At 49.2% G+C, this 20,326-nt stretch overlaps 2 protein-coding genes across 4 annotated transcripts in view, besides 7 other annotated features; one reads left to right on the forward strand and one right to left on the reverse strand.

Moving 5' to 3' along the window:
- TXNL4A (thioredoxin like 4A) overlaps nt 1-2,984 on the reverse strand; it is a 63,124-nt gene extending 60,140 nt beyond the window's left edge. For both annotated transcript variants that reach the window (NM_001305564.2, NM_001305563.2), the window contains exon 1: nt 2,899-2,984. The gene's annotated coding sequence lies outside the window, so the exon portion shown is untranslated. The remainder of the gene's footprint in view (nt 1-2,898) is intronic.
- Nucleotides 2,768-2,937: a silencer, noted in NCBI's record as "silent region_9587". NCBI's record gives its function as "represses an Ori minimal core promoter by ATAC-STARR-seq in GM12878 lymphoblastoid cells {active_cell/tissue: GM12878}" and the evidence as "EXISTENCE:reporter gene assay evidence [ECO:0000049][PMID:35858748]".
- Nucleotides 2,969-3,125: a silencer, noted in NCBI's record as "fragment chr18:77793921-77794077 (GRCh37/hg19 assembly coordinates)". NCBI's record gives its function as "represses an EF-1alpha promoter that drives an FKBP-Casp9 reporter gene in an ReSE screen in HepG2 liver carcinoma cells {active_cell/tissue: HepG2}" and the evidence as "EXISTENCE:reporter gene assay evidence [ECO:0000049][PMID:32094911]".
- Nucleotides 2,969-3,327: a biological region, named in NCBI's record as "ReSE screen-validated silencer GRCh37_chr18:77793921-77794077".
- Nucleotides 3,008-3,327: a silencer, noted in NCBI's record as "silent region_9588". NCBI's record gives its function as "represses an Ori minimal core promoter by ATAC-STARR-seq in GM12878 lymphoblastoid cells {active_cell/tissue: GM12878}" and the evidence as "EXISTENCE:reporter gene assay evidence [ECO:0000049][PMID:35858748]".
- Nucleotides 3,338-3,417: a silencer, noted in NCBI's record as "silent region_9589". NCBI's record gives its function as "represses an Ori minimal core promoter by ATAC-STARR-seq in GM12878 lymphoblastoid cells {active_cell/tissue: GM12878}" and the evidence as "EXISTENCE:reporter gene assay evidence [ECO:0000049][PMID:35858748]".
- RBFA (ribosome binding factor A) lies at nt 3,482-19,699 on the forward strand. Of its 2 annotated transcripts, NM_024805.3 has the most exons (7): nt 3,482-3,701; nt 5,716-5,758; nt 6,378-6,554; nt 7,553-7,665; nt 11,183-11,267; nt 13,260-13,333; nt 14,822-19,699. In NM_024805.3, the coding sequence occupies exons 1-7, from the start codon at nt 3,544-3,546 to the stop codon at nt 15,201-15,203; spliced, it is 1,032 nt and encodes a 343-aa protein (NP_079081.2). In that variant the 5' UTR covers nt 3,482-3,543; the 3' UTR covers nt 15,204-19,699. The 2 variants fall into 2 exon arrangements, with proteins under 2 accessions (NP_079081.2, NP_001165438.1); NM_001171967.2 differs by lacking the exon at nt 11,183-11,267.
- Nucleotides 3,528-3,677: a silencer, noted in NCBI's record as "silent region_9590". NCBI's record gives its function as "represses an Ori minimal core promoter by ATAC-STARR-seq in GM12878 lymphoblastoid cells {active_cell/tissue: GM12878}" and the evidence as "EXISTENCE:reporter gene assay evidence [ECO:0000049][PMID:35858748]".
- Nucleotides 17,586-18,785: an enhancer, noted in NCBI's record as "BRD4-independent group 4 enhancer chr18:77808538-77809737 (GRCh37/hg19 assembly coordinates)". NCBI's record gives its function as "activates an origin of replication core promoter dependent on BRD2, P300/CBP, MED14 and CDK7 cofactors, and independent of BRD4, by STARR-seq in HCT116 cells {active_cell/tissue: HCT116}" and the evidence as "EXISTENCE:reporter gene assay evidence [ECO:0000049][PMID:35650434]".
- Nucleotides 19,700-20,326: the final 627 nt, after the last annotated feature.

A 20,326-nucleotide genomic window follows, 5' to 3' on the forward strand; every position in this document is an offset into this window, starting at 1 on the left:
TGAGATTCCATGTCAAAATAAATGAACAAATAAAAACACTCTTAAGAACAAAGGACATGGGAAAAGTTTTTCAGTGGAAAGGACCAGCTCATTAGCTCTCACTTCAGCATTTCCCCCAACTAAAACAAAGTGGTGACCATGCCCCAAACAATGGCCCGTTTTCACAATGGAATAATGCAAACTTGGGATGGATTTATCTGGTTCACCCCTTCGTTTGGCCAACTCAGTCAAAATGTTCCTTTGTGCTGGGAGCAAAGAAATCACACCCAGGACCTGTGGCCAAACAGTAGGAAGATATATGGGGTGGACACCTGGAGAATGTTGTGACCACATTATTGTATTATGAGACACTGACTGGCATGCCACTGACTGGGTGCAGTGACCAACTATTTATTGGCTAGCTCCAAGTGGGACATATTGGCTATGTGGCACTAACTTATGGCTGTGGTCACCTCCAGGGTGGTTGGGATGATGCTCCCCAGGTTATGCTTGGGCACAAGGACGAGTAATTCAGACCCTGCCAAAAACAGCAAACCTTTTTCATTTACAATCTCGTTGGACACGTTCAGTATTCCAATGGTATGATCATTTAACTTCAATCTTTGTACCACAGATAGCTATTGAAGATGCTATATGGGATATAGAAGCCTTAACAAATTACACCCAAAAGGCCCTGAATGATGGCTACATGAGTTACCTCTTTGCCAAACGACGGGGTCATGCTTATGAGGAAAGCAGTGCTGCAAAATCATATGGCTTTAGATACACTAACGGCAGCACAAGGGGGCACTTGCACCAGAACAACTGAATGTTGTGTGTATATTCCAGAAAATGAAGAACATAACCCGGCTTATGACTGATATGAAAACCCAGATAATCAACCTGTCAGACCCAAAACCCTCACTGATTGGTTGAGCAGCTGGTTTGGATTCTGGGGAACTTGGTGGCACAAGCTAGTGCTTATAATAAGAACAATTTCTGATCTGTCCTGTTTTTGCTTATAATGTTGTTGTGGTATATGTTTGCAAATAAGTCCATGTGTAACTGAAAGGGCTAGGGTAATGACTGCTCAGAGAATTGCTCTAATTCAGGAGGCAGTAATGTAGCCTGACCTAGCTTCCAGTTTTGCCCTCCTTTTGTTGCTATAAGTCTGGCCTAGGTCCCTATACATTTTTCTTTTTTTCCTCTTTTTTCCTTTCCTCCCTATTTTTTATCTTCGTGGGACATGATCTCCTAGGAATGAGCATTCCTCGTGACGGAGGACTTGAACTTCTAGGAATAAACCATCCCAGCAACAACAAACCAGCAGGTGGGAAGAAAGGAGGAAGCAGCAACCTGAGGCCAGGAACCCACATTCCTTTTTAAAATGCTTTTCTCCAAAAGATTTTAAAGAAAAAAAAGGGGGGAAATGTGAAAGGAAATTAAATTTTGGGACGCCAAATTCACTTAGCCAAAGGGAAGAGTCAAGCTGGGAACTGGGTCACGCAAACCTGTCTCCCCCTTTTGGTTCCTAAATAAGATGGCTACAAGATGAAAGGCTACACGCCTCCCCCATATTTTGCCCACAAGGAGATTCCTGGTGAGCTGTTGAAATTTCACCATGGTGGCCAGGCGCGGTGGCTCACGCCTGTAATCCCAGCACTTTGGAAGGCCGAGTTGGGCGGATCACTTGAGGTCAGGAGTTTGAGACCAGCTTGGCCAACATGGGGAAACACCGTCTCTATTAAAAATACAAAAAGTAGCTGGGTGTGGTGGCACACAGCTGTAATCCCAGCTACACGAGAGGCTGAGGCGGGAGAATTGTTTGAACCTGGAAGGTGGAGGTTGCAGTGAGCCGGGATCACGCCAGTGCCCTCCAGCCTGGGCGGCAGAGAGAGATTCCATTTCAAAAAAATAAAACTTAACCATGGCAATGCAAATTGATAGCTTATCTTTACAGGTGCAGTCACCCTAGCCCATCTGATTGTTCCCCTACCACATTTTGTCTGCGTTATCTTATGTAAAATGCAGATTCCCCACGTTTTTCCTCTGCCCGTTTGTTTGTGAAAACTCTGCTTCTCAATACTCCGCCCTTTCCCCTTTAAATCTGGGGCCCTCAAAATCATTTTTGGAGAAAGGCGTAGACCTGTCTCCTGGGTGCGTCCTTAACTTTGGCAAATAAATCTCCTAAAATGATTAGAGACTTGTCTCGTCGTTTTCTTCGATTGACAATATATACACACATACATACGCATACACACACACATATATACGCGCACGCACATGCACACATATACATGTCCACACACATGCACACACACGTACATATGCACACATACACATGTACACATCCACACGCGCCCACACACACACACACACACAGACGTGTCTCACACCACAGCAGCCGCCTCGGGGGAGTCACAGCCCACGCATCCCCAACACTGCGGTCGCGCTCACTTCTCTTTCCACGCCCGGGGGGAGCAGCTTCCCCGCTGGGCCACGCTGACTCTGGGGAGGCGGGCGGGGCGAGACCACTTCTGGGGAGGACGCCCAATCTGGGGACTTTCTCTAGGTGCCCGGGGAGAAGGCGGCGCAGCAGCAAAGCCCTGGAGGGCCCAGTGGCGGAAACAGACGGACCCCTCGCAGCCTCCCGCCGACAGCGGCCCTGCCCAGGTCTCCAGGCTTCGATGCCTTCGTTGCTTTGTGCGGCGCACCCGCCTACGTCAGTTCCCAGTATTTAAACAAAACGTGTTCCTAGCTACGCAGCGCCAGGCAACCAGGCGGTTCCCACGCTTCCCCGAGTGGCACACCCTCCGCGCAGCCCACGCGGCCTCCCCACGCCCAGCTCCCGCCGGCCCCGCCTCGCGTCGTCCTTCGCCCCGCCCCCGTTGCCGCCCCCCCCGCCCGCACACTGCCCACCTGGCGTTGTCTTCACCCCGCTTACACGCCGCTCGCTTCGCTCTGGTAGTCGCCCACCTCGCGCTGCCCTTCTCGCTTCAGTCTTCGCCCTGCCCACCCACCGCCCACCTCGCGCCAGTCTTCGCCCCGCCCATTCACCGCCCGCCTCGCGTCAGTCTTCGCCCCGCCCAACCACCGCCCGCTTCGCGTCGGTCTTCACCCCGCCCACTCGCCGTTCGCCTCGCGCCTTCGCCCCTCCGCCGTTGTCGCCCCGCCCCTTCTTGCGTCCAGTCTTTGCCCCGTCCCTCGCCGTCGCCCCGTCCACACGCCGTCAGCTTCGCGTCTGTCCTCGCCCCGCCCACCTACCGCCCCCCTCGGGCCTTCGCCCCTCCGCCGTCGTTGCCCCGCCCGCCTTGCACCCCGTCTTCGTCCCGCCCCGCGCCGTGGCCCCGCCCACACGCCGTCAGCTTCGCGTCTGTCCTCGCCCCGCCCTGCATCATCGCCCCGCCCTGCATCATCGCCCCGCCCACACGCCGCCTGCCAGGCGTGAGTCTTCCTCCCGCTCTGCGCCGTCGCCCCGCCCACACGCCGCCACCCTCGCGTCAGTTGTCGCTCCGCGCCTGCGCCCGTTGTCTCCCTGCTCGCTCCGGGTCCCGGCGCCGCGCCATGTGGGCTGCGGCGGGCGGGCTGTGGCGCTCCCGCGCGGGTCTCCGGGCCCTGTTCCGTAGCCGCGATGCTGCGCTATTTCCAGGCTGCGAGCGGGGACTTCACTGCTCTGCTGTCTCCTGCAAGAACTGGCTCAAGAAATTTGCCTCGAAAACCAAGTAATGCGGCGGGGGCGGTGTCCCTGGGCGCGGTATTCCCTAGGGGGCGGTGTCCCCGGGTTGCGGTGTCCGCTCATCCGCGTTCTTGCGCCCATGCGGCCTAGCTCGCCAGTTCCTGCCTCCTGGGGTCTGCAGCAGTTCTAGCTCTCACTGTCAGCATTTGCAGCTTTTGTGTTCGTGGACGTGTGTCGGGTTAAGAAAACAAAGTGACAATGTGTGTTTATTTTGATTCTTGTCACCAGACGTATTTTTCAGAAGATTAGTTTCAGAAAATGAGGAAAAATGAAAAAATATAAGAATTTCCTTGCTAATGTTGACTTTCTGTGTGAATTTGAAGACTAAAGCTTGTCATGATAATTAGTGTTTTTAAATTATGAAAGATAAGTACAATAAAATACATTGACTTTTCACACTGCTTTTAGTTCTTCTAAGTATGGTAGGTGGTTGTATGTTTTCTACTTTAATACACTACTTTTAAAGACAGTTTTAGACCCTGCAGAAAAATTGCAAAAATAGTACCGCGTTCCTGTGTCCTGGCACCCAGCTCCCCCTGTGTTAGCGTCGGACTTTAGCTTCCAACGTGTTCCAGTTAATGAGCCGATATTGATAAGAGTGTTGCTAACTGAAGCTCATACTTTATTCACTTTTCCTTGGTTCTGCCTGCTGTCCCTTCCTGTCCCAGGTGCCCACCCAAGGTCCACGTTACATTGAATTGTCTTGTTTCCTTAGGCTGGGGTAGTGTCCCAGACTGTCCCTGGTTTTGATGGCTGTGCCAGTTTTGAGGGGTACTGGTCAGGTGCTTTGCAGGATGCCTCTCTGTTGGAATGTGCCTGTTTTTTTAATGCTTAGACGTGGATTATGGCTTTTGGGGAGGAAGACTACAGAGGTAAAGGCCATTCTCATCGCACCGTATCCAGGGTCCACGCTGGCCGTGATCCCCTGCATGAGGTGCTTGCCAGGTTTCTCTACCGTAAAGTTACTCTTTTTGCCCCCTTTCCTTACTGTACTCTGGGAGAAAGTCGCTGTGTGCAGCCCATGCCTAATGAGTGGGGAATTTTGCTCATAAGTGGTTTGCATTCTGCACAAGGGATATGTCTCTTCACCCCATGTATTAATTCATTCATATCACCAAGAACTCATGGGTTATAATCCCGTGTTACTTAGTTTTGTTCGAATGTTTCCAGCTCAGGCCCTTAGGAGCTCACTAAGCTCCTATGTCCTGTTTGCATACCCTGTCATTGTGGGGTTTTGCTGGGTTCTGTGTGTGTTAAACACTTTCCTACTTTCTGGCACTACAAGATACTCCAGGCTCATCTTGTGTGTTTCGTACCACAGCCCTAAAATCAGCCATTTCTCCAAGAAGCCCTCGTTCCTTTTATTGGAGAGAGAGATTAGAAACCATGGGTGCTGGGTGTGTTCATTGCTTCTGGGGTGTCTGTCTTTTGGGCCATCTCATCTGACGAAAGGATATATGTGTTTCTACTAACCCTTGTGTAAATATGCACCTATAAACATTTCCGTGTATAGCCATCTGTCTCCAACTCCAGACGTACTGTGTGGATCATTCTAGCCTCCTCTCCTTGCTGATCTGTAAGTCGCACTCCAATGGTGAGCGTGGCTCCCACCATCCATTTGCTTAATTGTTCAGTCTCAGTCTATGCCTATAACAGTATCTGAATCCTTTACTTGAACTTCCATGGGAAACATCTTTATCAATTAGCGTATAGTGTTTATGTGCAGTTTGGTAGGTGTCTTTTTAAGATCCTCTCTCTAACCTTGGGACTAGAAGTAGAATTTAGGTAAAAATTATGAGGTTGAATTAAAACCATCTTCAGCCTCTTCCCCACAACCCATGTTGTTATCAATTAAATTCTGAAATTTTTTAAGATGTCCAGTAATGTAACATCTAAGTTTAGCCCCCTATAAACAGTTATGGTATCATAACCTCTTAAATTAGCTTATGTAACTTTTTGACTTTGCCATCACTAACATAATGCTTATTTTCTCCCCAAAGAAAAAAGGTTTGGTATGAAAGTCCTTCCTTGGGTTCTCACTCGGTGAGTATAAGCCATGAGCCACTTTATAATCTTGATGGGAGTGAGGGTTTAAAAGTTGGCAAAACTCTTACCTGGAGGTCTTTCCATTTCTGTATTGGAGGGGATAGTGTCTATGTGGATGCGACTGGATGCCATTGGCAACATGGAGTTTTGATCTTTTCAAAAAAAAATGTACTGACATTAATGTTTTCTGGAAAGTCATATCTTTTATCAAATTATAATATGGTAATATCCATTCAGTTTTTAGTGTGTGTGTACTGTAAAAGTTTATACAATATATGGCTCCCATTCTGAAAAATAAATACATCACGTTTCCAAAAAATTACTGAATTATTCCCTTTAGCACGGTGAACTTTATGGTATGTGAATTATATCTCAACAAAAACTTTTTTTGAGAAAATATTTACTGGCAGTACTTTTAATCTTGGAGGGTTACCAGGTAAAATTTAAAAGGATCCCGGTTTATAAAACTTTATCTTAATGAAAGCTGAGGCAGCTGAGAGTGATAGCTGCTGTTGATCTGGTTGCCCATCCAGCCCTCCCCCAGCCCCTGCTGTGTGACTTGGTGAGTTTGGAGTTGTAACGCTGCCCTTGGGGTGTGCTCTTCTTCCTGATGGAGACTTACAAACCATCCAAGTTGGAATTCCTCATGAGGAGCACCTCAAAGAAAACCAGGAAGGAAGACCATGCGCGCCTGAGGGCCCTGAACGGCCTCCTCTATAAGGCACTGACAGACCTGCTGTGTACCCCTGAAGTGAGTCAGGAGCTGTATGACCTTAACGTGGAGCTCTCCAAGGTAGGCTGTGTGGCCAAAGAGAAGAAATGGGTTGAGACAGCAGGCCTGGCACTTACTTTACCTGGCCCAGTCTTGCCTGACAATTAAAAAAAGACGCTTTAGACTGGGCGCGGTGGCTCACGCCTGTAATCCTAGCACTTTGGGAGGCTGAGGCGGGCGGATCACGAGGCCAGGAGATTGAGACGATCCTGGCTAACACAGTGAAATCCCATCTCCACTAAAAATACAAAAACTTAGCCGGGCATGGTGGCGGGCGCCTGTAGTCCCAGCTACTCGGGCGGCTGAGGCAGGAGAATCGCTTGAACCCAGGAGGCGGAGGTTGCAGTGAGCTGAGGCCGCGCCTCTGCACTCCACCCTGGGTGACAGAGCGAGACTCCATCTCAAAAAAAAAAAAAGCCACTTTAGCACTTATGAAGTCTTAGTTCTGGGTTGCAGAAATAGAAATGATGCTCAGTCTGGTCATTGGAGCCCTGGAGACAGATGGTGAGTGTCTGTGCTGTGCAGAGGCAGATGTCTCACTGCAAGGCGGGAGTCCTGTGACCAAACAGCACCTGGCACATTGTCAGATAGTAGAAGGTCTAAGCCTGCCGTGGGAAGAGGATGCATCTGCATGTACCTCAGTACAGAGGTACAGGAGATGACTTCCTCTGACCCACTCAGTGAGTTGTAAGGAGAAAAGGCAGCATCGAGCATTTTTGATTAGTGTCTCAGGGCAAGTGGCTGTGAGGCAAGCGTGGGGTCAGGGTTCCGGTTTGGTTCTGCAAACCAGGTGGTTTGGTTTGCGGGTCCTGGTGAAGAGAGGAGGGAGGTTTTGGTTTCTGGGGCCCTACTTCACCTGGGGACATGGTGCGGCAGCAGGAGGTGGCCTCCAGCAGCATGCCAGAGCCCTGGCTTGGGTGGGAGGGGCGTCTGCAGCTGTCGTTTTCATCTCCTGGATGTTGTTTGTCTTGAAAACCCATGTAAGCTAAAAAGTGACCTGTGGAGGGGCGGGGTCTCAGGTTTCCCTGACTCCAGACTTCTCAGCCTGCCGAGCGTACTGGAAGACAACGCTCTCTGCTGAGCAGAACGCACACATGGAGGCTGTCCTGCAGAGAAGTGCCGCGCACATGAGGTGATGACCTTTGCTTTCTGAATGTACTTGCTTTTTGCTCATACCCTAAATTTCTCAGCTGTTTCACTTGTAGGTGGACTTGAACTTTTCATTGAGTATTTTTGCTTTTAAAGAAAATTTTGGAGGCATTTTCTTGAAGTTCATAGTATAATTTGCATTTTTGTATAAGCTATAATGTAGGTTAGCATTTATTAAAGTGTGCCAGGATCACTAGGGATCTGGAGATCCTGTCAGGGAGTTCATTAGGGTAAGACGTTATTTCACCTCTCCTGCTGTGTTGACATTTGCACTGAGGGTACAGAAACCATGAGGGAAGACTGCTGGTGCCATGCTGCCAGCCAGTGCTGTAGGGGCGCCATGCCACATGCCTAGAGTAAAAGACAATGTTACTTTTACTTAAGAATATCCCAGATGAGGCTGGACATGGTGCCTCTCACCTGTAATCCCCGCAACTCGGGATGCCGAGGCGGGAGGATCACTTGAGGCCAGGAGTTCAGGACCAGTCTGGGCAAGATGGCGAGACCCTGTCTCTACAAAAAATTAAAAAATTAACCAGGCACAGTGGCAGCACACGCATATAGTCCCACCTACTCAGGAGGCTGAGGTGGGAGGTATCCCCTGGATTCCTATCAGCCCAGGAATTTGAGGTGGCAGTGAGCCGTGTTAATGTACCTGCATTCCAGCCTGGGCAACGGAGCAAGACCCTGTTTCTCAAAGAAAAATTAAAAAATCCGAGACAGTTTATCAAAAATTATTAATTGTATTAAATCTTGACCCTTGAGCATGCCTTTTTCATATTTTTTGTAATGGGAAGTACATGTAAATCACCTGCTGTCTGGAGAATGCTGAACAGAAAAGCATCAGTGAGCAGACTGTTTAGGTTTGGGTGTTTGGCAGACATTCTTTCAAAAATAAGCGAGTGAACCTACCACTCCGGAGCAAACAACAGACCATATCTGTTGCCAGTGATAAAATTTAAGCTTTCAAGTGAAAATCAGAATTTTAGGAAACTTGTATTCACCACTGTGAGCTTGACAACTTCTAGGTACTTGAGACTCTTCTGATGAGATTGGCAGCGACCTTAACAAACGTGCTGTTGTATGATAAACTGTGTCAATGCTTTTAAAATCTGCATAACTAGGTGAGCTGTTGTTTTCCAAATGACCAGTGCATGAGGTTACAAAACCATACGCTGAGAGATCAATTCAAAGTGTGAGCCAGATGGTGAGTTTTAATGTAGCAGAGTGTGACAGGTTGGTTGGGTGTGGTTTCAGATTCCTCATTGCAACTATTTATATGTTTATTTATTTGAGATGGAGTCTTGCTCTGTCGCCCAGGCTGGAGGGCAGTGGAGTGATACTGGCTCACTGCAACCTCTGCCTCCCGGGTTCAAGTGATTCTCATGCCTCAGCCTCCTGAGTAGCTGGGGTTACAGACGCCCGCCACCATGCCCAGCTAATTTTTGTATTTTTAGTAGAGATGAGGTTTCACTATATTGGCCAGGCCGGGACAACTGACCTTTAATAAAGTACATTTGTTGAATTTTTGTGACAAAGAAGATCCATACTTTTCTCATGGCTGTTAAATTCTGTCTTTTCCAACACATAACTGGGAGGCCTGAATTTTTTTTTTTTTTTTTTTGCTTTTTTTGAGACAGGATCTCATTCTGTCTCCCAGGCTGGAGTGCAGAGACACAATCTTGGCTCCTGCAGCCTCAACCTCCCAGGCTCAAGTGATCTTCCTGCCTCAGCTTCCCATACAGCTGGAAGCACAGGTGCATGCCACCACACTTGGCTAATTTTGTATTTTTTGTAGAGATAGGATCTCTCTATGTTGTCTAGGCTGGTCTCCAACTCCTGGGCTTAAGCGATCCTCTGGCCTGAGCCTCCCAAAGTGTTGAGATTACAGGCATGAGCTACTGCGCTGGCTCTTCTTGTATTTCAGTGAGAGGAAGGACAGAGTGCAGAAGCAGCAGTGAGATCCCAGCTGTCTTCCATGAAGCTGGCCTTGGAGAATTTGCAAATACATAAACAATTCCATGCTTTTCATTGATTTTGTGGGGGGGAGTGTATATATATATTTTTTGTTAAAAATGTCTATGTAAGCATTTAGTGGGTTTTTAAGCGACTTTAAAAAGACGTAGCTTTTAGAGTTCTCAGTTTTAGTTTGTAGTATAGTAAATATTGATAGATAGAACCCACATAAACAAATGCTCTTTGGGATCTTCAGTAATTTTTAAGAATGTAAAGGATCCTGGGACCAACAATTTTGGGAATTGCTGAGCTGGATGATAATAAAGAAATTATTCAGTTTCCTCCTCAGTTTTAAAAAATGCAGAAATCCAAATCCAGCTCACTGTCCAGCTCTCTCAGAACTGGAATTCCTCCTTTCTGCCTCCCTTCTCATCATGCCCCATGTTTAGGGTGGGGACAGACGTAGAAAAGGTGGCCGTGTGTGGGCTTCGTTCCAGGCACCCTGCCTGGCTTCCCTGCATCATTACCACACACGATGATGCCCAGGGGTCTGTGAAACTGCATATCAGAGAATGCTTATTTCTTACTGTTTAACAAAAGCAAGAAAATGAGAGATTATTGACAAGTGTTGAAACAGCATTGTTTTCTGATTTTTAGGTATCAGAAAATTCAGTTGAGCTGAATGTCCCTCTTCCCAACTCCTGCGGTCACCCAAGATTTAGGGTCACCGTTTTCCATAGCTGTGTACCAAAGATCTGTGGTCACGGCTTTCGCTGGTTATATGTGCCGTGCCTACATTGGCCCTAGGTCTGTATTATGTGATGTGCATGATACAAATATCACTTCTGTGTCTAATATCTGGGAACCTGAGGGTTGTGTCGTGCCAGGGCGTGTCCACTGGGCACAGGAGGACAGGCTGTTAGTGCACAGACCCTGGAGCCCAAGGCTACGGCGATGAGTTCAGATCAGGTTATTTGTACAGATCGCACAAGTTGCGTTGAGAAAAGTCAAGGCAATTGCAGTTATGATGCATTTTGCATCCCTTTTTTGATGTGGTAGTTGACTAAAGATGACTCTTCTGGGCTGAGGTTTTCATTTTTGAGTAATACGATAAATCTCACTCCTGCCTCTTTTTTTTTTTTTTCTTTTTTTTTGAGACCGAGTCTTGTTCTTTCACCCAGGCCGGAGTGTAGTGGCACTATCTTGGCTCACTGCAAGTTCCGCCTCCCGGGTTCAGGCCATTCTTCTGCCTCAGCCTCCCGAGTAGCTGGGACTACAGGTGCCTGCCGCCACGCCTGGCTAATTTTTTGTATTTTTAGTAGAGACGGGGTTTCACCATGTTAGCCAGGATGGTCTCGATCTCCTGACCTCGTGATCCGCCCGCCTCGGCCTCCCAAAGTGCTGGGATTACAGGCGTGAGCCACCGCGCCCGGCCTCTCACTCCTGCCTCTTGGTTACATCTTGAATCATATGTTCAGCACTGTCACGCCTCTCCACTGAGTGTCACGGCACAGCTGTGAGGGTCTGTGCGTTCTGTCTCCTAGGCACCTTTTGATGTCCCAGCAGACCCTGAGGAATGTGCCACCGATAGTGTTTGTTCAAGACAAGGGAAATGCAGCTCTAGCTGAGGTAAGGTTTTCAAAAAAACTTTTTAAAATTTAAAAATTTTTATTTTTTTAATTAGAGACAGAGTCTTGCTATATTGTCCAGGCTAGTCTTGAACTCCTGGCCTCAAGGGATCCTTCTGTCTCAGCCTCCCAAAGTGCTGGGATTTATAGGTGTGAGCCACCGGGCCCAGGTAATAATTAACTTTTTATAACATAAACGCTTATATGAATAAAGTTTTAAATTTAAGTTTTAAATCCTGAAAAGATAATGTACAGTTAAAAAAGAGAAGAGGCCAGGTGCAGTGGCTCAAGCCTGTAATCCCAGCACTTTGGGAGGCCGAGGCAGGTGGATCACAAGGTCAGGAGTTAGAGACTAGCCTGGCCAATACGGTGAAACCCTGTCTCTACTAAAAATACAAAAAAATTAGCTAGGTGTGGTGGCGTGCGCCCGTAGTCTCAGCTGCTCGGGAGGCTGAGGCAGAAGAATCAGTTGAACCGGGAAGGCGGAGGTTGCAGTGAGCCGAGATTGTGCCACTGCACTCCAGGCAGCAGAGTGAGAGACTCCGTGTCAAAAAAAAAAAAGAGAAGAAACCACTGAGAAGGGAACAAATGAAAAGTAATGAAAGAAAGGTGCAAATGAAAAGGCTGTCCCTTTCTCCTGTGCCCCTGTTCCCAGCCAGGTCCCCAGAAGTAGTTGCTGTTTCTGGTTTTAATTTTTTTATGCTTATCACTGTAGCTCTAACTAGGGTATGAACTCAACACGGCCAGAGTTGCCCTCCCACGCCTGTCTCCCCCTCCCACCTCTCGAAATGGATCAGTCCACTTTCGTTTCACATTATTGGGGCTTATGAGACTTAGGTCTGTCCTGTAACCTTAAGTGCTTTTATTATCATTTTCCTTGCTTTAGAGATGGGTTAGCTATAAAGATTAAAAACATGTAAATATATACTTCTCTGGGTGGTGGTTACCTGGCAGTTATTAAGATATGTTATACCTTCAAAAAGTCAGTCAAAAATCAGCGAATAGCGTTTGCAGTATTATAGGTAACTGTTGTTCAGTATAGGACCAGACAGCATTTGGATCCACAGAAGAAAAAGATCCAGTTTGACATTTTTGGTTTTCGTTAATCAGTGTGTAGGTAACACTAAAAACATTGTACAAGTAATAAGCTTGACAGATTCGTGATTTCCCTTGCTAGAAAAAGAAACGAAGGAGTGAAGTTATAGTCCCTGCCGTAAGGAATCAGGGACAGTTCAGGTCATGGCAGTGTGCTGTGAGGGCATGAGCAAGGTGTTCCCTGGGGAGGACGTGCCAGTCTCTCTGTCTGAGCTCAGCACTCCAGGCTCCTGTCTCTGGGGAGGGAGGTCCCATCAGGTGGTGTGGGTTCCAGAACAGTCACTGGACAGGGGAGAGTGCATGCTATGCTTGGAGCAGGATGAGGACACCCCCGGAGGCAGGGGATAGGCAGGCAGGGTTCGGGTGGAATGCATTGTCCAGCAGGGCTTGTGGGCCATTGCCATGGTGTGGGTGGCATCCCATGAGCCTGGCTGAGGAGCAGTTTTCTTTTGTAGTTTAGGCTCCCAGCATTGTGACTGTCCGCATCATCTTTTACCTTGTCTTGTTGGGAGGCTTTTGTCCCCCAAGGCACACAAATTCTGTGGCAAAACTGAAGCATTTTGCAAAACTACCTTAGAAACCAGTTAATGGTTAGTTAGTTAATTCAACTAACGCTTAACTGGTTTCTTCATAAATTTGACTAACAAGTCTAAAATGTAGTTTTTAAAAAGCCTCACTTCGTTATCAGAGAAAATGTGTTATGTTAAAGTAACAGTAAGGTATTTGAAAGCACAGGCTACTGAACAGGTCCTAGTATTTGGGAAGAGTCGGTGGAAGGAATTGTGCAAAGTCTGATCAAAAGCTCTGCAGTCAACAATGCTGGTGTTACGTGGAGCCCGGCTGTAAGTATGGTGGTGGGGATGTGGCTAACGGGTTTACCCTCTGTGTTCCTCTGTAGCTTGATCAGTTACTGGCAGTCGCAGACTTTGGACCCCGGGATGAAAGAGACAACTTTGTACAAAATGATTTCAGGTGACGCATGTGGACATATGTTTTGATTCCCTGGGGTACATTCCTGGGTGTGGAATCACCATTTTCCAGAGCAGCTGCCCAGCGCCACATCCCGAGTAGCCTGCATGATCCCCATGGCACTTGCCTCCAGGGCCGGCAATCCACATTCACAGGCCTGTGCTGTGGCCTGGCCACGTTTACACAGTGAGGGCCTCAGGGGCCACCAGAGGTGCCTGCCATAACTCCTGCAGTGAGGAGAGGGCCTCTTGTCCTCTTCGTTCATTCAACACATTGTTTATTGAGTGCCCACTGTGTGCCAAGCCCTGGTCAAGCACTTAGGATGCAGCTGTCTTTGGAACCTGCGTTTCATTAGGGGAGGCCGACAGGAAGCAGTAAACATCACAGATGGGTGTTAGGAGGGGAGTAGAGGGAGGTGGGGCTTGGGAGAGCAGGTCGGGGGCGTGGAAGTTTGGCCTGTGCATGTACACACACATACACATCTTTTCCAAACATGTAGTGCCTGACAGAGCCTGCAGGTCTTGGGGTGTTTGTGGGGGGCCCCATTCCAAGCCCACAGCTGCTAGAGCAGGCCTTGCCTGGGGGCCTTAGACAGCAGCGTCAACATCGCCTGGCACCTGCCAGAGTCGGGTTTAACCAGCCTGCCAGGTGCATCCCTGAGCTGGAAGCAAAGCTCCACGCTGTAGCAGGCCTGGCCTGACCGTGTCAGCAAGGGGCAGTGTGGGGGCGGCAGGGCAGGGAGCTGAGCCCAGGGTGTGGAAACTTTCCAAAGTGGAGCCTTGGAGGATACAGGGGCTGTGACGTGGCCTTGACTAGGTGCTGTTCACCAAGAATAGACTCTTCATGAAGGCGAATGAGTGGCAGGTCTGATAGGCCTCACCTGCGATTCTGCCAGTTGAACTGGCCCGAGGCACTGGCCATGCTTAGAGAAAAAAGTTGCAAACGCTTTTTTTTTTTTTTTTGAGGCAGAGTCTCACTCTGTCGCCCAGGTTAGAGTGCAGCGGCGTGATCTTGGCTCACTGCAATGTCTGCCTCTTGGGTTCAGGCGATCCTCCTGCCTCAGCCTCCTGCGTAGCTGGGATTACAGGCGAGCGCCACCACGCCCAGCTAATTTTTGTATTTTTAGTAGAGACAGGGTTTCACCATGTTGGCCAGGCTGGTCTTGCACTCCTGACCTCGTGATCCGCCCGCCTCAGCCTCGCACAGTGCTGGGATTACAGATGTGAGCCACCGTGCCCGGCGCAAATGCATTTATTGCATACAGGACGGTGCACCTGGACTGTGCTGGCCGAATGCTTCTGACACTGGAGAAGGCGGAAACCAAAGCCCACCTTCCTTCACTCCTGTCTCCAGTTACCCTCAGATAGACGTTTGGGAGGGTTCTCAGGCGAGTAGATGTAGGAAGTGTGATGTGCTGTTGTGTTGTGGCGACGACACTGTGGACTAGGGGCATGGTTTGTGCTTGGTGTGAAGCCTCTTCTTCCTTCCCAGGGACCCTGATGCCCCACAACCCTGCGGCACCACAGAGCCGACCACAAGCTCCAGTCTGTGTGGGATCGATCATGAGGCGCTCAACAAGCAGATTATGGAGTACAAAAGGAGGAAAGATAAAGGGCTCGGGGGCCTGGTGTGGCAGGGGCAGGTGGCTGAGCTGACAACGCAGATGAAAAAGGGAAGGAAGAGGGCCAAGCCCCGCCTGGAGCAGGACAGCTCCCTCAAGAGTTACCTGTCAGGCGAGGAGGTTGAAGATGACCTGGACCTGGTTGGTGCCCCGGAGTACGAATGCTATGCCCCGGACACAGAGGAGTTGGAGGCAGAGAGAGGAGGTGGCAGAACAGAGGATGGCCACAGCTGCGGAGCAAGCAGGGAGTAGATGGAGAGGCTCTGCCCATCCCACATTTGCAGGGAAAAGCATTGGCACGCAACGCAGCATGTGGCTTCATTGAGGCAGTTGATGGAGTTAAACCATCTGCTCTTCTGCTACTTCAACATTTTCTAGCTTTTCCGTGTATCTAAACACAATTTGCTACACAAGTCACTGTTTTTTTTTCCATGCACTGTGTGTAATTTAAAAATTAAATGGCCATCTTATCACAGATTCTCACAAAAAGAAAATGGTAAAATAGTGTCTCTGAGATGCTGGCATGGCCACCTCCACCTGCAGAGCCCTGCCAGGTGCCAGTGAGTGCTTGGCCCGAGGGGTCAGGCCACAGCAGTGGCCGGGGTAAGAACTGAACCTGCAAACCTGGGGAGAACAGAGGGTCCCCAGAGCCTCCCAACCCCCTGGAGCTGGGCTCCGTCCCTGGGGCTGCTGGGCTGGCACGTGGCGCCGGGGGCTCCATCCCTGGGGCTGCTGGGTCGGCACGTGGCGCCGGGGGCTCCGTCCCTGACTGGCCTCTTCACAGCTTTGTGCAGCAGGCTCCACCTTCTGGTTCAGGCCAAGGTTGGGCAGAAAGTGAGTTGGGTTTGCTGGGGCTTCCTGGGCGACCCCGGCTCTGACCGTGGTTCCATCACGCCTGAAGTAGTAACACTTTTCCCTTGGTGCCCGTGGCCAGCTAGTGTATTTTCTAATCCATCCAAAGGTGAAACAGACTTGGTCTTTGCCTTCTGAAGAGTGTGCGACTCTGAGTCATACTGAATTCTTTGTGTCACCTCCGACGCAAAGATTCGTTTTGCTGTTTATCAGAAGAGAAAACACAGATTCCATACCTTGTCAGCTCCTATTTAGTTCGGCTTCCCTCTTAATGTCCCAGCCCCTGTGAGCTGTCAGGTTCTAAATTCAGAATTCTCTCAATTCTGTCAGGTTCTGCACTACGAGTCAGTGTCATCCCTCCAAGCCCTGGCTCTCTGCCAGTGCAGCAGGGCTGTGAGAATCAAGACGGCACAGGGAAGGCATCTGTCCCAGCATTTGCACATGACAGGTGCCCACGGTGCAGGAGTAGAATCTGTGGAAGCAGCAGTGGCTTTAGTTGCTGTGCCCTGCCACCTCCTCCCCAAAAAGGAGAAGTGTCCAAGGGATAGCAGACCCGTAGCACTGAGCGGCCTGCCGTGCTGACCACTGGATCCAGGCCACGTGCTGCAGACAGCGGCTGTGGGCGAGTGATGAGGCCACTACCCAGAAAGCTGCATGTGCACTGTGTGGGGTAAGGACAGTAGGAGATGCTGCTGCAAGATGCTGACTCCCTTGTTTTTCTTTTCATTTGTGCTCTGGGACTAAGCTGTGTATAAGTCATCAAATGGCAGAAGCAAGATTTTTCTTTTGAGATCTAGGAAATTATTTGTTTATACTCTACACTCTTATTTCCTATATCAGGATGGGGAGGCCACTACCTCAGGCCAGTTAAACTAAGAAGAAAGAATTTAAGGCAATTTGTAAGGATAGACAAAACCCCACATGATGGTATGAGTAGGAGAGAGAAAAAAAAAAGGGAGCCAGAAATTAGGTTACAAAGTGTACACCACACATAAAGGCTGATGCCTCTGTTACACCGTGAGCCAAATGTTTATCTCTAGGGTTTCTGGTAGCCAGTTGCGGGGTGTCCAGTGAAGGGGTGTACATGTCTGTGGTTAATCATATAGGTCAGGATAATGAGGTGATACTGCAGTGACAAATGGCAAATCTCCCTGGCTTACAACAACCAGTTTGCCTCTTATTCTTCTAGGGGACCATCATGGGCTGAGGTCAGGCCAAGGCCTTTTGTATCTGGTGTTACTGGAACATGGCTATGTGAATTCATTTATGTACAAGAGACCTCCCCATCCTGATGTAGGAAATGAATGGTGATGATTTACGAGCGCAACATCCTAAAAAACGTTTTTGTATTTCCCTAGCAAGATAACTTCAGGTTACAAGGCTCTGGTACTTGACCATGATGACTCCATGAGAAAACAGCAGAACGCCAGCTTTGCAGGTACCTCCACAGCACTGCCGGGCTGGGAACAGGGCCAGTGCTTGCACCAGCGCTGGAGGGGGCCACAGCAGAGTAAAGACAGAGTCTGCCATGCAGGAGTGCTTCGCAGGTCAGGCACTGCTCTGAGTGCTTTGTGTTAACCTGCCCCCCGCCCCCTAACTTGGGAAAGGTGTTAAAGAAGGAGAGAACGCCCTCAATGGTGTGTCCTTTGCATACACACCTTTGCATGCATCTGATGTGCCCAGGCTGTGTTTTATTGTTCTAGCAATTTATTGTTACAAAACAGATTGCTGCCATCAATTTGTCTCAGGTCCTTCTAGCACATCTGACAGGGACTAGTGTCTAGAGCCATGAGGACAGAGACCAGAAGGGACAAGAAGGAGTGGGCAGAGGGAATGGAAGGTAGAGTTAGGCCCAGAGAGCCCCAGGCTGCTGCCCAGACCTCCACGCCTGTGCCGGATGTGGTGTTGGCATCCATAGCAGTCTCGCAAAGTTGTTCTCATTTTCCAAATAAGGAATCTGAGGCCCAGGGAGAGGTGAAGTGCTGCAGGAGATCCAACCAGGCGCCGGCTCAGTGCCTCCTAGAAAGAGGAGTGTGGGCACGTTTGCAGGGGATCCAACCAGGCGTCAGCTCAGTGCCTCCTAGAAAGTGGAGTGTGGGCATGTTTGCAGGGGATCCAACCAGGCGTCGGCTCAGTGCCTCCTAGAAAGTGGAGTGTGGGCACGTTTGCAGGGGATCCAACCAGGCGTCTGCTCAGTGCCTCCTAGAAAGTGGAGTGTGGGCACGTTTGTAGGGGATCCCACCAGGCATCAGCTCAGTGCCTCCTAGAAAGAGGAGTGTGGGCACGTTTCAGAGAAAACTGGCTTAGGCCTCCCTGTTTCTGGCGTGGCCTTCCCTGGGAGCGAGTTAGGGACACGGAAGCTCACCCGCTTCTGAATGGGTCCACTCCTGGGGATTTCCGCGGCCTTCCCTGGGAGCGGGTTAGGGACACGGAAGCTCACCCCCTTCTGAATGGGTCCACTCCTGGGGATTTCCGCGGCCTTCCCTGGGAGCGGGTTAGGGACATGGAAGCTCACCCTCTTCTGAATGGGTCCACTCCTGGGGATTTCCACGGCCTTTCCTGGGAGCAGGTTAGGGACATGGAAGCTCACGCCCTTCTGAATGGGTCCACTCCCGGGGATTTCCATGGCCTTCCCTGGATGATCCACTCCTGGGGATTTTCCGCAGCTCTCCAGATGACGTGCACGCACACTAAACACCCAGAAGTTAGGGAGGCACTGATCCAGTGAAGTCCTCAGATCAACCTTGTGAGCTTTTTACAAGTACCTGTCACTGTTAAACTGCTGATGAAATGTGAAACGACTTCACAGGTTTTCAGTCTGATAAGCTCTCCTGTGTCACTGTCCCTTACCTTGTTAGTAAAGGTCAATGGTTCTCAAAGTTCCGGGCACATCCCCTGGGGGCTCATAAAACCAGACTGTCGGCCACTTCAGCCTTCTGGTTCGCTGTTCCTTGGTAATGCAGATGGCCCAGTAAGCAACTCTACAAACATTAGAACATTTTGAGGTAGACAGGGGAACTTAATCACCCCTTGTAGGCCCCCAGAAGACTGGACCCAACATCCAGCACAATGCCTCTCAGCCTTGGCTGTGCATCTGAAACACCTGCTGTTTGAAGACACCTGGGCCTGGAGACGGGCCAGAGCCACCTTGGTGGTCTGAGTATGAGGCCAGCATTAGAACCTCTGCTCTACGGGTGACTGCCCTGGGTTGATTTTTTTCCAGTATTATCTTTAGTACAGAATCTTTTCCTCTCTAAGGGCCTGAGACCCTCTCTTAGGAATAGAAGTACAGTTTTCTTCCCCACTCCTTTTGTCCAGAAGGAAAACCTGGTTTTACATCAGAAACTTGAGGTACTTTGAAAATTTGCCAGCTGCCTTGAAGGAGAGAGGGCTTGAGTGTATTTTGGGGGAAGAATGAGGGGACAACAGGGCAGGGAGAAGGGACAGAGCTAGAGGAAGGACAGGCCTGTGCCACCCAGGCCAGGGTAAGGGGAGCAGAGACCTTTTGGTTCCTGGTTTGTGACACAGGAAGGGAGGGAACTGGGGAGGACAGGTCATGATCAGTGTTTCCTGATTAAAAATTTTTTATTTTTATTTTTAATTATCATGGGCACAGAGTAGGTGTATATATTTGTGGGGTACATGAGATGTTTTGATACAGACATGCAATGTGAAAAAGCACATCATGGAGACTGGGGCACCCATCCCCTCAAGCATTTATCCTTTGTGCCACAAACAATCCGATTATATTGTTTTAGTTATTTTTAAATATGCAATTAAATTGTTATTGACTATAGTCACCCTTCTGTGCTGCTGCTCTACTGTGGCCTCAAAGATCATAAATGCTGTGGGTGCTGGCAAGATACTGAAATAAATTAATTCTGTATTTCTAAAAATAATTTCATACTTTCTTTTTACAGAAGGAATATATATTCTTTGTTGAAAAATGTTAAAACAGATACCAATAGAATAGAGGAAACAAAAGCCCCATGTAGTCTCAGCTACCAGAGACACCACTGTTAAATTTTGGTGTAGCATCAGGTGCGGTGGCACGTGCTGTTAGTACTCAGGAGACTGAGGCAGGAGGATCACTGGAGTCTGGGAGTTTGAGGCTGCAAGCACATTGATTGCACCTGTGAATAGTCACTGCACTCCATCCTGGGCGACAGAGTGAGGCCCTGTCTCAAAAAAAAGATGGTAACATCAGAATGTTAACCGAGCATGAGGTCCCCATGCCCACATGGGCAGCACACCTGGGAAGCCAGCCCTGATGTCAGTTAATCCTCAGGCCTCTTTGAGGTGTGCCATTTGCCCTAGGGATGTCCTGTATGGCAAAGGGCCTGTTCCAGAGGCACTTGTTATGTTTACCTGTCACCCTCAATCCCATGCCCTCGAGTAGCTCTTGGGCTTCCTTGAGCCTTCGTGGCCCTAATTTTGAGGAGTGCAGCCGTTATTTTGTGGAGTGTTCCTCAGTTTGGGCTTGTCTGGTGTTTCCTCATGATCACATTTAGTACTTGCTTTTT

This window comes from Homo sapiens, chromosome 18 (assembly GCF_000001405.40).
Source record: "Homo sapiens chromosome 18, GRCh38.p14 Primary Assembly".
In the NCBI taxonomy this organism is placed as follows: Eukaryota; Metazoa; Chordata; class Mammalia; order Primates; family Hominidae; genus Homo; species Homo sapiens.